This window comes from Homo sapiens, chromosome 10 (genome assembly GCF_000001405.40).
Source record: "Homo sapiens chromosome 10, GRCh38.p14 Primary Assembly".
Lineage (NCBI taxonomy): Eukaryota > Metazoa > Chordata > Mammalia > Primates > Hominidae > Homo > Homo sapiens.
In genome coordinates this window covers 96,964,784-96,979,887 of record NC_000010.11, presented here as the reverse complement: position 1 = coordinate 96,979,887, position 15,104 = coordinate 96,964,784, and the positions used below count along the sequence as shown (strand labels likewise).

General features: G+C 40.1%; 1 protein-coding gene across 1 annotated transcript in view; it reads right to left on the bottom strand.

Moving 5' to 3' along the window:
- LCOR (ligand dependent nuclear receptor corepressor) overlaps positions 1-15,104 on the bottom strand; it is a 163,659-nt gene that overhangs the window by 16,069 nt on the left and 132,486 nt on the right. The gene's annotated exons all lie outside the window — the stretch shown is intronic.

The following is a 15,104-nucleotide window of genomic DNA, read 5'->3' as shown; positions in this document are numbered from 1 at the left end:
ACAGGCGTGAGCCGCCGCACTCGGCTGAGAACTTAACAGTTTTAAGATAGTTTCTCAGCATGACCAATTGGTCATGCTAATGCAGGAATCCTGCTACCCTTTCCTGGGAGTATAAAGGAATAGAAATCAATAACTTCACCTACTTTAAATGGTGAGATGACAAGCAAGTCCCAATTCGCAGTCTCTTAAGTGAGGAGATAGCTATGAAGCCACACTAAACTGTACAGGCCTGTCACTGCAAGGTAGTAGTATTGTATCTTTATTCAAGGCCCACTTGCTACATTCTCCGAGATCTTCAATACACCTTTTACAATCAACCACAAGAAATCATTCTATGTTAAAAACCCCTTTCCACCATTTAAGTAAGTCACCCAGGACAAATCCTTAGAGCTTAGCGCAGACAGTGGGGACTGTGTGAAAGGGTGATGCTAGACTCAAGACATGCCACAGGCAATACCTGCTTAGACAGCCAGGCCTTTCACTAGCTGCTTTGTGCTTCTGGATGTCTGGGTTGTACTGAACCCATGCAGTCGGTGTGCTCCAATTTCCTGGAGTTTTATATAATTTTTTAAACTCCCTCTCTCTCTGTATGGATTATAATTCCTCAGGAGACTATTATGTGACTTGCCATGAAATACAGCAGCACACAGAGGCAGCTTTAAATGTGTGAACAGATGTTTGATAATATCTTCTGGCTAATTCTTTTCTTCAGTCTTTGATTTTTCTGTCTCAGTCATGAGGCACTTTTACAGGAAGGCTGACCCTAGACAACCCACATCACCTCCTACCTTCCCACCCTCCACTGGCTTCTGAGCAGTGGGGTCACAGTGGAAAAGAGCATAGGCTGTGGAATATGGAGATCCGAGATTCCACCTTTGGCTCTGACATTTACTATCTACAGGATCTTAGGCAAGTTACGTCATCTCTCTGAACCTTGGTTTCCTCATCTGTAAGTTGGGACTGAATGTCAGTATCTCAAAGGATTGTTGTGAGATATTAGATAACATACATAAAACATAAAGCACAAAGCACAAAAGGGCAGGTGCTCAGACAATTTCAGTTTCTGTTCAGGGCTTAGGGAGATTTTTAAGATCAAGTAGTGAAAAGGTTGCTGAACATGTCTAAATACAAAACCAAGAAATTAGTCAAATCTGTTGCTTAACCTAAACTGCTTTACCAGAGAAAAGGTTACACTGTGTTTTTGTTTTCACAACTAGCAAGAAAGCAGTTTTAGTCGGTAGTGCCATGGGTTTCTGAAAGGGCCTATATTAGACCATGGATTTGAAAGACTAGAAATGTCATAGAAAATGCCTACCTCATACTTTCCAATGATACCTGAATTGTGAATACTCTAGGAAAAAATATTATTATAGAAGTATTACAAAAGGTACACAAGTACGGTGAACTCTGAAGTACATACTGGCGATGGGGACAAAATGTACCAAAGGAAAGAAAAGACGAAAGCAGCTAGAAAAAACCTATTGAGTACTTTTCTATCTGTAAAGTGGACTTAGTAAAAGTTTTAAAAAGGCAGCATATGGAATAAGCTCCTCCTGCTTTGCAAGAATGGCAAATATTATCTTCTTCCTTTGGAACAGGCAAGACATCAGTGACACCCTTGGATGAGTGATTGTTAGGACATTTCCAACTTTCCGACTCAATGAGATGTACAAAGGAGCTCAACAGAATCCTCATGCAGCTGCAGACTTTTCTGCTCATGGAACAGGCAGGAGGAGGCCCCTGCTGAAGGACCCCAGACCCCTTTAGGAAGAACTTTGTCACTATGTCTACCAGATGAAAGCAACAGCACAATATGTGTTACAGGCTACAGTACGAGAGTGGAGATGGAGAATCAGTAAGTAGTCCTGCTGCTTACTAGTTATGTGACCTTGTCCAAAACATTTAACCACTTTGGGTCTTAGTAGAGTACCTGCCCCATCTACCACTTGGAAATTCTCCAAGGAAAAACCTACAAAGTTTATACAAATATCAGCTACCACTACTGTCAGTGAATCAAATTAAAAGTGCTTCAGTAAAAAATCACTGGGCTAGCTGTGCTTGCTAACATGAGCCTGCAGTCCCAGCTACCTGGGAGACTTAAGGTAGGAGGATCGCTTGAGCCAAGGGGGTCGAGGCTGCAGGGAGCTATGATCATGCCACTGTACTACAGCCTGGGTGACAGAGTGAGACCCCACATCAAAAAACAAACAAACAAACAAACAAACTTGGAGATCAAGAACATGCATTAATGCTTTCTTATAACCTAAAAGGGGTACATTTTCTGGATAAAGTTTAACCTTCAAGTACCAAACATTTTAAAGCAAATATTTAAAGATTCAAATTTTTTTTGATGGAAGTCTTAAAAAATTATATTATCTTGGAACATAATTTATTCTTCCTGATACTTGGGATCATTACCATATGGACTATTACTGAAGTCTGGCTATTATTTTTATTATACTAGACTGAATTAGATTAATAGTTTGAGGGGCAACTCAATTAACTAAGTCTGACTTCCTAAAAACTACAGTGGTGGCCTGTATTGTATTAAATCTTCTTTCTTACTGGCTTCCAAACAGTGGCTGATCTTAGCAGTCCTACTTCTACCTTTAGTAGAGAATTTTACTCACTAGCTGAGAAGCCATATCCCAAGTGCCAAAATGGTACTTTAAGTAAAAATAAATAGGCTCTGAATGAAAGCTTGAGGAATAGTTTTAGGGGTAAGTACATGAATTTTCTAACCACAACTTCTGTTGCTCAAAAGCCTTTATTCCTTAGTTCCTGATATGTTCCTGATGTTTCCAAGGTAGGTGACTATAAATAAGTGGGTGCCTTTTCAATGCATCAAAGAACATACTCCAAGTGCGTTTTGGCAATACACAAAAAAGGATGACAAAGGTCAGTGAAGAGGGTGAAGAAATATTATGGCATCTAATTGTAGAAAAACTGAAGAGATAAACGGTTCTTCCTAATTCAAGAAGCACAATCATTACCTAACTCTTCGCAAAAATTTTCTAGGTACCGCTTCATGCCTATAGCTGGGTTCTGGAAGCAAGCTTTAGTGCTTGGAATTAATGAGATGCCTGGGGTTGAATGACATCAAGGTATGCATGCAGTAAGAAGACAGAGTGCTATGAAGAAAGCTGAAGAAGCACTTTCCTCTAAAGTGATGCTCACACAGAATAAATGAGTAATAATTTAGTTCACAGGTATTATCTAACTTCCTTCATGATTGTGAGACTCTAATCTGCTGCTGTCCCATGTTTCAATAACTTAATAGCACCCCAATATCTTCATTACCCTTAACTAATGTAAGGTCTTCCAAAGGGCCATGCAGCCAGCCCTGAAGCAACAACCATGGCCATATGGCTCAAGCTAGTCCCCATTAGACAGCCACAGGTAGGTAGGAATGTATTTCACAACCTCATGGCAAGAGGCGGTGGTGTCTTCCATGCCACCACTAAGGCATGCTAAAGAAACATGTTCAGGATCCACTGAACTCTAACCTGGAACAATGTAATACAGCATGTGGATACTAAAAAACAGTAGCATCAGAGAGACTGACACAGGCTACACCAACCTTAAGGGACACTTAGAGCAGTAGTTTGTGGAAGCTCAGGAGAATGAAAAGAAAATAAACGTTTCTTTCCACAGAACTGCAAATGGCAACCTCCAGAGAAAATGGCATCAACAAAAAAGATCATTTGTATGTTTTCCTCATAAAAAGGATCAGGGACAACGTGTAAGAGCAGGTACCAGGGTATTCTTGTCAGCCTGTCACTGGCCAGCTCAAAACTACCCCACCTGGTTTGATTGCATTCTTTCCTGAAAATCCTAAGCCACTGTGCTTGGTAAAACTCAATTACACGGGGTCTTGTGTGTTTCGCTGTTGTTGCCTAGGCTGGAGTGCAATGGCGTGATCTTGGCTCACTGCAACCTCCACCTCCCGGGTTCAAGCAACCCTCCTGGCTCAGCCTCCCAAGTAGCTGGGATTACAGGCGCCCACCACCACGTCCGGCTAGCTTTTGTATTTTTAGTAGAGACAGGGTTTTGCCATGTTGGTCAGGCTGGTCTCGAACTCCTGACCTCAGGTGATCCACCTGCCTCAGCCTCCCAAAGTGCTGGGATTACAGGTGTGGGCCACCACTCCTGGCCAGAGTCTTGTATATTTATCCTATAATTTTTATCTTGTATTGACTTTGCCTTGTTTTTGTCTTAGCTTCCCAAGCAGATGTAAGCTACTTGAGTGCAGGGACCATGTTTCATGTTTTCCTGTTTTCTCTTAGCAAAAAAGAGGAGAGGGAAAAGGGACATCTAGGATGCTTCCTGAGTTTTCTTCCTGGGCAGCACCATTTACTGAGATAGGAATAAAGGTAACAAAGATAGTGGCTGGTGGTTGTTAGGCTGTGTATGTTTCTGAAGAGCTCTGTACTATACATATTAAGATATTTACATGATTCTGAACCTGAGATGTCTGGTAGGCAACTAGACACATAGGCATGATGAGCCCACCAACAGCTTCCCTTCGATCTGAGAGGCCTTCACATGAATACTAACCTTTGTCCAGGTGTCATTAAAAGGCCCTGTTATAACAGCTAACTTTACAATATAGCAATAAAATCAGTTTTGGCTGTGCCTCAAAGTTATCCAGCTTCCTACTTTTTTTTCTGGAATTTTTCTTAATAGCACATAAGTATTTATTTTATTATTTTATTTTGAGATAGAGTCTCCCTCTGTCGCCCAGGCTGGAGTGCAGTGACACAATCTTGGCTCACGGCAACCGCCACCTCCCGGGTTCAAGCAATTCTTGGGCCTCAGCCCCCCAAGTACCTGGGATTACAGGCATGTGCCACCACACCCAGCTAATTTTTGTATTTTTACTAGCGATGGGGTTTTACACCCTGTTGGCCAGGCTGGTCTTAAGCGCCTGACCTCAGGTGATCCACCAGCCTCGGCTTCCCAAAGTGCTGGGATTACAGGTGTGAGCCACAGCACCCGGCCAATAGCACCTAAATTTAGATGAATTTCACTTTATCATTTGAATATTTTAAAAATGAATCTCAACTTCCTGATATTTAATTCTATTACTATTTTTTTATGTTAAAAAATAGGTGTTAGCCAGTTTTTCCTGTTTTAAACAGCTTGTCTTTACTTTTGCTTCTAGTTATTCAATTTTTCCGAGACCTTAGATTTGTAACAAACCCTAAATATAGCACTTGCATTAACTTAGAATATTGTTGGGCAGCTAGTAGGGAAACCAGAGAGAGGCAATTTTCTGTTCTGCAAACCATTTCCTCAACTTGGCCTAAGGTCCAGGAAGCACTGTTTTAGTTCGGTGCAGATTATAGTCTGTATCATACGATGTCCTTCACATCTGACTAAATAAGGTCTTTATAAGAACAGTAATTCATAACAGATGTTGAAATGACTTGAGCTCATGCTAGTTCATGCTGCTTCTGCTCATCAAGAGGACTCTGTAATAGTCAAGTGAATTATTCGTTAATCAGAAATACCTGAAAACCACCACTAAAGCACAGTAAGATCCTAGGGATTGGTTAATGGGAGGAAGTACTCCCACTTCTCATAAAGGAAAAGAAAAAACTGGATTTCCAATACTTAAATTAGTTTTCAGTTTATCTCCTTGGTGAGAAACGGTGTGCATGACCTTGACCACTGTCTTCCTATCTTCAGTTCCATGCCCAATTGTTAAGGGTGTGGTAAAAGGATAAGATAATATTCATAAACCCTTTAAAAGCTACAGTTTAAGAATGATTGTTGTTTCATAACCCCATCTTTAATGATTTACTCAATATTTATCTACATCATAGGTTAGACACAGCTTAACTTGCCTACCAAGTCAATAACACAACATTTAATTTCTGATGGAAAGCATTCCTGTGGTTAATACTGGTGGGTGGGCAATGCTTATGTTATCTTAGAGTTAAAGATCAAGTGGAGAAGAGATTTGGCATGGAGGTGAAGTGACAAGTCTGAGAGTCTAGAATTTAGGAGTGATGAATTTAGGTATTTACTCTCTAACTACCAATAACTGCTTGATGAGCAAAGGCAATATCACTGATGACCAAAATACATTCTTCTTGACTGAAAAAAGATCAATAGCCACAGAGAATGATGTTTGGATAGGAGCTAATCTTAATAGCAGAAACAGGGAGTCCCAGGAAAACAGAAGGGGAAAGCAAGCTTTAGAGAGCTGACTATAGTCAAGGGTTGTAAATTACTATGGCTTGACTCTTTAAATAAAACAAAAATGCTTCCTCACCCCCTCTTCAAGGCATAACAAGTTATATTTTTTGCCAGACAATAATCTGAAATTGTGTCCCCTAGTTTACTCACTTCTTCTCCTTTAAGCACAGAAAGTATAAGTATAGTCAGGAGGGCCTGAAAAAATCTGCTGACAAGTCCTTGCTCTACACGGAGAAATTTATCTACTCTTGGCTATTTCACATCTGTTGTATCCTCCACACCTGAATATAAGGATATTCCAAGGTTATGACAAAGTTGTGTAGACATAATGGAGAAGGTTGGCATGGGGTGTGGAAATTTTATTTTTCCACTCTTTAGAAAGCCATAGGTGTACTTTAAAACCCCTGAACAAACTTTTCTTTCCACAGAACTGGCTTAGGAGAAGCAGTGAAAGGGTAGGCAAAAGTGAATACAGGAAAGTGAGAAATGAAGTTCATAAAAATCACAGGCTGTTAAATATGTGATTTCCAGGTGGTTGAAATCCAAATTATCTAAATTTGGATGTAGATAGAACCTAGATACAGAAAAAGCAATTTTCAAAATTGGGGTTAAATTATCCCCTTTCCCAGAGATCAGAATCATGGAGAATGGTGAGGGGTTGAAACCAGGATGTATCTCTTCACCCCTATAGAAGTCCCAGCCTCAGTGACACCATTGCTAATGGCAACATGGTATTTGTTCAAGTGTGTGGAGGTACTGATCTAAAGCAAAGGGCATGCAATCCCTTTGTAATTGCTAAGTTTACCATGTTCTTAACCACATTCACTAAAAGAGCAGAATAAAGGTTCAAAAATAATGAACTAATAATCGAAACTGGGGGAAAAATAGGTGTTTCAGAGGGAGCTTACTGGGCATGAAGCCATAGTTTGCTACCTTTCTGCATCTTAAGGCTTAATATCCCTAGATAAGGGACAGAGTAGATCTCCTAAATATCACAGAAGCACTTTAAGGCTTATATATTGTATCTCCTATTTTTCTTCATTTTAACTAGATTGTCAAATTTATTAAATTACAATAAAAAATATAACTATCAAGAAGATTCTCATGTTCATTCTTTAACATATTTTTACCCTACAGACAAATGTACCCAGGATGCCAAAATACAATCAGAAAGTTACTTGGAGAGCAGGAAGTCAGAGCAAGGGTCATTAAGCACAGCAGGTCAATGCCTCCATTTGCTCTCTGGAAATGTGATGGCCTCAGAAAACAGACATCTCTGACAAACTACTTCTGTGGTTTTTTTCCCCTACCAAATTGATTTTTGTTTCTAACTTCATCATCCTTGGTAAGACTATGCAAAATCTAACGTATATATGGTGTTAATTTTTTAAAAAAAGGGAGGGTTCAGAGGCAGTGAGAGATGTGAGATTTTGGACTGGATGACATACATTTAAAAATATTTTTAAAATATTTTTAATATTTTACCCCTTTACCTCATTGATACTCATAAGGTGAGCAGTAACACTAAATTTTTATTTTTTTAAGTATTTTTAAAGTGTGAGGATAAGCAAGGTATTTTATATTTATCATCCTCTCTGGGGTGCTATAAGAATTAATAGTCCTTTATAACTATTCCCCACCCCACCCCTCTCTAGAAACACTCAAGGCTACAGCTGGAGATGTTCTGGGGGTAGAACTGAACTAAGTATTAATAAAATCATCTGTACGTTCAAGTTTTTACTCAGGAATCTTGGAAGACAAAATGTAACTGAATGTGTAGGCACACATGCAGACGTAAGAGTTATAAGGCCTGTTATTTAGATACTCTATGCTAGATATTCTACCTCAATTTTTATTATTAGTTTCATCACTTCCCTTGCCTCCAATACACCATCCAGTTTTAACTACAAGGGTTGACTTTCTTTGGAAAATGCTATATTGTATATCTCTGCCCCTCGTTTCTCATTTTAGAGTCAGCGTCACATTATCCAGAATTGCCAACTTCCTAAAGCCCAAATCTCATCTGGTTACTTTCCTGCATGAAACCCCTATAAGCTCCCCACTGCTTACACAACCCTCCTCAGCACCCTGTCCCTGGTGCTGCATTAGGTAGTTTCTCCTCTACTCTCACAGTCTGCTTGTATCTTTTGTTAAACAGTACTTATGCTGCTTTGTAACTATTGACCTAACCGTCTTCTCCATGGACTGTGAACCTCCTCTAGGTCAAGGACTTTGTCCTTTCCAATTTGGTAGCCTCAGTGCCTAAAGCTTGGGGCTCAACTCATGGCAGGCATTAAGTCAGTCACAAATGGACTATTCAAATAAATTATTATGTAGTGAAAATAATTCTCCCAAATGCATTTTTCAAGGGAATTGAAAGGGGTAGAGGAAACATTTTTACATATAATCAGAAGGGAAAAGAATAACCTTTCAAAAAAAATGAGTTCAACGAGGCAGGGAAAGAAGGGAATTTTGAAGGGCAGACAGTAAGTATGTAGGTTTTGACTAAGCACACAGGCAGTCCAAGTGTGCTCTCTAAGGTACCAGGAAAACTGGGATGAAATGGTTTACATAATGGCTTTAAAACACCACTAGGTTTTCAACAGCAATCCAGAACAAGAAATACTTTTTACAAAGTGACCCAGTACACACATTCCAATTTGTATGTATATATGTATGATGATGTAAGTTTTGATGAAACATTATTTATCCTTACTATAATCCTATGTACTCTGATTCTGTTTCTTTTTTAAAATGCTGGCTAGAGCTGTGCGTGGTGGCTCACGCCTGTAATTCTAATACTTTGGGAGGCCGAGGCAGGAGGATTGCCTGAGCTCAGGAGTTCGAGACCAGCCTGGGCAACATGGCAAAACCCCGTCTCTACTAGTCCCAGCTATTTGGGAAGCTGAGGCACAAGAATCACTTGAACTCGGGAGGCAGAGGCTGTGGTGAGCCGAGATCATGCCACTTCACTCCAGCCTGGGCGACAGAGTGAGACTCTGTCTCTAAAATAAAATAAAATAAAATAAATAAAATAAAATAAAATAAAATAAAATAAATAAAATAAAATAAAATAAAATAAAATGCTGGTTAGGATCTTACAATCCATTAATAGGCTGTAGCTGGTCAACCCAATTTGAAAAACTACCTGGTAGGTAGAGAAGAAATCCAAGAAGATGGATTTTTTTTCTTAATCCATCTCTATCTAGTCAAAATTACACTGCCAGGTCTTCTTGGCAAAAATACCTCAAGTCAATTTATTTTTTACTCTTATTTATTTATTTTTTGAGACGGCGTCTCAGTCTGTAGCCCAAGCTGAAGTGAAGTGGTGTGATCTCGCTCACTGCAACCTCCGCCTCCCGGGCTCAAGCGATTCTTGTGCCTCAGCCTCCAGAGTAGCTAGGACTACAGGCAAGCGCCACCACACCCGGTTATTTTTTTGTATTTTAGTAGAGACAGGATTTCACCATGTTGCCCAGGGTGGTCTCAAACTCCTGAGCTCAGGTGATCTGCCTGCCTCAGCCTCCCAAAGTGCTGGGATTACAGGCGTGACCCACCGCACCCAGCCTCAAGTCAATTTAATAGTTGTTAAAGGTTGGGCATGGTGGCTCACACCTGTAATCCCAGCATTTTGGGAGGCTGAGGCGGGCGGATCATGAGGTCAGGAGATCGAGACCATCCTGGCCAACATGGTGAAACCCCATCTCTACTAAAAAAAAAAAAAAAAAAAAAAAAAATTATCCAGGTGTGATGGCGGGTGCCTGTAGTCCCAGCTTCTCGGGAGGCTAAGGCAGGAGAATGGTGTGAACCCAAGACTCGGAGCTTGCAGTGAGCTGAGATCACACCACTGCACTCCAGCCTGGGCAACAGAGCGAGACTCTTGTCTCAAAAAAGAAAAAAAAAAAAAAAGAAAAAAAAAAGAAAGAAAATTGTTGAAATGAACACCTCTAAACTATGTTAGCTGTGATCTGATTTGTTGGTTTGAAATCCACACAACCCCTAATTGATAAAACCACATTAAATAGGCATAATTGTCCCCAACTTCTTCCACTGGAAAAGTTTTGATGATTAAACATACACATTCCCACCCTCAGCTCTTAGATCATTGTTCAAACTCTACTACCCATGCAAAAAGAAGTCTACAAAGCATGTAAAACTTCAACCTTAAAGTATACAAAAAATTTTGTATACAATGGAAATGCACATAGTTAACTTTATGACTTTTAAATTTCTAATCTTAAGCATCTTCTACTTCCAAACAACTTTTATTCCATTTTAGTCTTTGAAAAGAAACAATAATTAATGGTTTGATTACATTCCCCTAAAACAGTACCATGAAATGCAGGAAAGCAGCATTCCAGGTTTCAATCACAATTCCAGTATTTTTAGGTTCTTGAACAAGATTGGCTGCCCTTTGCTTCAGTCTAATATGAACACAACGACCTCACTCTCCAGTGTTCTAATCAATACAGTTTCTTGCATAATGTCAATCTGACTTTCTCACTCTTCTATCCCTCACACTAAATTCATGCCCATCAGGTGCTGTCAATGCCTTTCATTTATACAACACTTGCAAAGAGCCTGCCACAGTGCTAAGTATTTTACACAACAGAATCTCATTTAAACCTTATAGCAAATCTATGACCCTCTTTTACAGATAAGAAAACTGAAACTCGGGAAGGTTCAATAACTTGTTCAAGATCATGTAGTAATAAGCAAGTGAAAACGCTGAATTTTTTTTTTTTTGGAGACAGGATCTCTTACTTAGTCACCCAGGCTGGAGTGCAGTGGTGCGATCAGGGCTGACTGCAGCCTCTATCTCTTGGGCCCAAGTGACCCTCCCACCTCACCACCAAGTAGAGCTGGGACTACAGGCATTGAGCCACCAAGCCAGCTAATTTTTGGATTTTTTGTAGAGATGGGGTCTCACCATGTTGTCCAGGCTGGTCTCAAACTCCTGGGCTCAAGTGATCATCTCATTTCGGCCTCCCAAAACACTGGGATTACAGAAGTGAGCCATGGCATTTAAACTCAGGCCCATCAAATCCTATCTCTCAAACTTGGGGTATTCTCTCCTCTCCTATCCATGCCCTACCTATTCTTCAACTCACCTCCTTTATGAGGGCTTTCTGAAAGTCACCTATTAATGCTGATTTTTAACACTGAGGTTTTATATGCTTTCAATATTTTTATGGCTAACTTCACAAAAGAGATTTCATTCTCTTCCTAAAAAGCAGCGTAAGTTTGCTGAAGGGCCAAACTCAATTAATAGTTAAAATTTAGTTAAAACTGAATCTAACGGAAAATTATTAGTATGTACAATCCCTAATTCTAATTCTAGCTTGAGTCAAGAATGCCAAAGTGGTACGGAGATAAGTAAGATGGTATGAAATCATGAGTATTATGGGCACCTCATTGTGTGAGGAGGGACAAGTCCCTCAAGGTTCCAAGTTCCATGTTTTTCACCTAAAAAAATGAAAAAGTAGAATGGGATCAACAGTACTTAATCAGTGGGTTAATAAAAACTTCCTGTGGTCACAACATGAATGTACTTAACAATGCTGAGCTGTATACTTGAAAATGACTAAGATGGTAAATTTTAATGTTTTTTTTAACCATAATAAAAAACCCAAAAAACTTCCTGTGGAACATTCTGAAAATACTAAACATGTCTAAGCCTCATTCCTATAAACTGATTCAGTGGATCTAGTCTAGTGTAGGACCCAGGCATCTATATTTTTAAAAGGTTGATTCTGCTTAAGACTGATTGTATCTGATGATTCCCAAGACCCTTAGTGCTCTAATATTCAAGGAACACCTACCCTGCACATAATAGAAATAAAAATTATGAATAACTTAAAGTGACTTTTCAAGTTAATATTTGCAAAAGTATCACATTCATACACACTTCATAACAAAAACTTAAAATAAACAAAAGGCATCTAAACATGATATCCAGATCTTTTTTTTCCTTTAGAAAATGTTTCAATGCAAAGGTGAGACCTGGGTTTACGAGACCTTATTCAATAAAGAGTTTCTACTGTATTTGCCAATGTTCGTACAGATACGATTTGTGTATTTGTCTCACATTTAATAGAAAATGACATTTTCTATCATTTTAAATATTTCAACTCACGAGTTGAAATAAGGTCTAAAAACCATTCAGTCTGTAACACCCTCACTTTACAGAAGGAAAAATAAGTGATCTTTCTAGTGCACCAAGTTGAAAGATAACATTAAAATAACAATTCAGGCAAAGTGCGGTGGCTCATACTTGTAATCCCAGCACTTTGGGAGGCCAAGGTAGGCGGATCACTTGAAGCCAGGAGTTCCAAAACAGGCAGGCCAACCATGGTGAAACCCCAACGCTAATGAAAATACAAAATTAGCTGGGCATGGTGGCACACACCTATAATCCCAGCTACTCGAGTGGCTGAGGCACGAGAATCACTTGTGAACCTGGGAAGTGGAGGTTACAGTGAGCCGAGATCGCACCACTGCATTCCAGTCTAGGAGACAGGGACAGATTCTATTTCAAAAAAATATCAAACCATTATCACTCCATACTGCTGATGAACAACGAACATTAAAAAATGACTAGTCAAGAAACAGTAGTATTCTTACATGCCTACAAAACCTCTACAGTCGGCCAGGCATGATGGCTCATGCCTATAATCCTAGCACTTAGGGAAGCCAAAGTGGGAGAAATCACTTGTGCTCAGGAGTTCGAGACCAGCCAGGGCAACGTACTGAAACCTTGTCTCCACAAAAAATTGTAAAATTAGCCAGGCATGGCAGCATGTGCCTGCAGTTCCAGCTACTCAGGAGGCTGAGGTGGGAGGATCACGTAAGCCCAGCAGGTCGAGGCTGCAGTGAACCGTGATCATGCCACTGCACTCCAACCTGGGAGATAAGAATGAGATCCTGTCAAACAACGGAAGTTCAACATTCTGTTAAGAATCTGATAAATAAAATTCTGTGTTAAAATGCTTACCTTTTAGAAGCAAATAAAGTGAAATATAACAAGAACTCTTATCTACTATATTACTTAACACTTTCTATTAAAAAAATTATTCACTCATTTCAGCTACAAAACCTAATACCACATGTCCCGAGCATATGCTGTTATATTTGAATAGTGTTTGTTAAGAGTCCTGGCCGGGCGCGGTGGCTCACGCCTGTAATCCTAGCACTTTGGGAGGCCGAGACGGGCGGATCACGAGGTCAGGAGATCGATACCATCTTGGCTAACACGGTGAAACCCCGTTTCTACTAAAAATACAAAAAATTAGCCGGGCGTGTTGGCGGGCGCCTGTAGTCCCAGCTACTTGGGAGGCTGAGGCAGGAGAATGGCATGAACCTGGGAGGCGGAGTTTGCAGTGAGCCGAGATCGCGCCACTGCACTCCAACCTGGGAGACACAGCGAGACTCCGTCTCAAAAAAAAAAAAAAAAAAAAAAAAAAGAGTCCTTTGGGGGGAAAAATCCCCAACTCAGGATATGGCAAAAAAAAAAAAAAAAAGTTTCCATTTTCTCCATTTTACTTCTCTTATGCAATCTCCCTAATTTCCACACCTGTTAAGACATAGGGCCCCCTGAATTAGTTTCCAAAATATCAGCAGAATCAGAGAAAATTCCAGTTTAAAAGAAAAAGTCCTTTCTTTAAATAGGGCCTTTATAACAACTGAAGAGCTGAATATCAATTTGAAGATAGGATCACTAAAATAAAGCAAATTCATTTATGAGATGCTAAACTGTAATCTTATTACTGACCTGGCTCCCAGTTTATAATGAGTAACGGCAGGAAATGACCATAAACAAGTTAGTTATGGCTTTGGAACTTACAGCAAAATAATAATTAGCTTTCTTAAAAAATCTTGATTAAGTATGTGGCATAATTAAGGGGAACAAATAAAGCCAACAGAACAAGTCTGTAGTACTAATATAAATTCCTATTTTATAAACATCAGACCAAAGGCAGAAACAGCTAGATAGCCCGTCTTTTTTTTTTTTTTTTTTTTTTTGAGACAGAGTCTCGCTCTGTCGCCCAGGCTGGAGTGCAGTGGCGCGATCTCAGCTCACTGCAAGCTCTGCCTCCTGGGTTCACGCCATTCTCCTGCCTCAGCCTCCCGAGTAGCTGGGACTACAGGCGCCCGCCACCACGCCCGGCTAATTTTTTGTATTTTTAGTAGAGACGGGGTTTCACTGTGTTAGCCAGGATGGTCTTGATCTCCTGACCTCGTGATCCGCTCGCCTCGGCCTCCCAAAGTGCTGGGATTACAGGCGTGAGCCATCGTGCCCGGCCGACAAAAACTATTAAAAGATAAACTAGACCAATTAACAATAGCATCATCTTTAAATATAAAACACCACTAGCAGTCTGGCGCAGTGGCTCACACCTGTAATCCCAGCACTTTGGGAGGCTGAGGCAGGTGTATCACGAGGTCAGGCGATCAAGACCATCCTGGCTAACATTGTGAAACTCCCTCTCTACTAAAAATGCAAAAAAATTAGCCAGGCGTGGTGGCGGGCGACTGTAGTCCCAGCTACTCGGGAGGTTGAGGCAGGAGAATGGTGTGAACCCAGGAAGCAGAGCTTGCAGTGAGCCGAGATCGTGCCACTGCATTCCAGCCTGGGAGACAGAGCGAGACTCCATCTCAAAAAAAAAAAATTTTTTTTAAATGTTGAGCAACATATACTCTGTTCTTTATGTGTTCTGGTAAAAGGAATTATCAGCGAACTGCCAAGAATGAGAACTACCATCATAACCTTAACTGACTGACAATGTTGCTTTTATACTTATGCCTCAAGACAAAAGCAAACAAAAAATAGTCACTATTATTTTCTGACAAGGAATCCCGGCATTAAGTTTTATACTCTTAAGAAAATTATAAAAAACTAA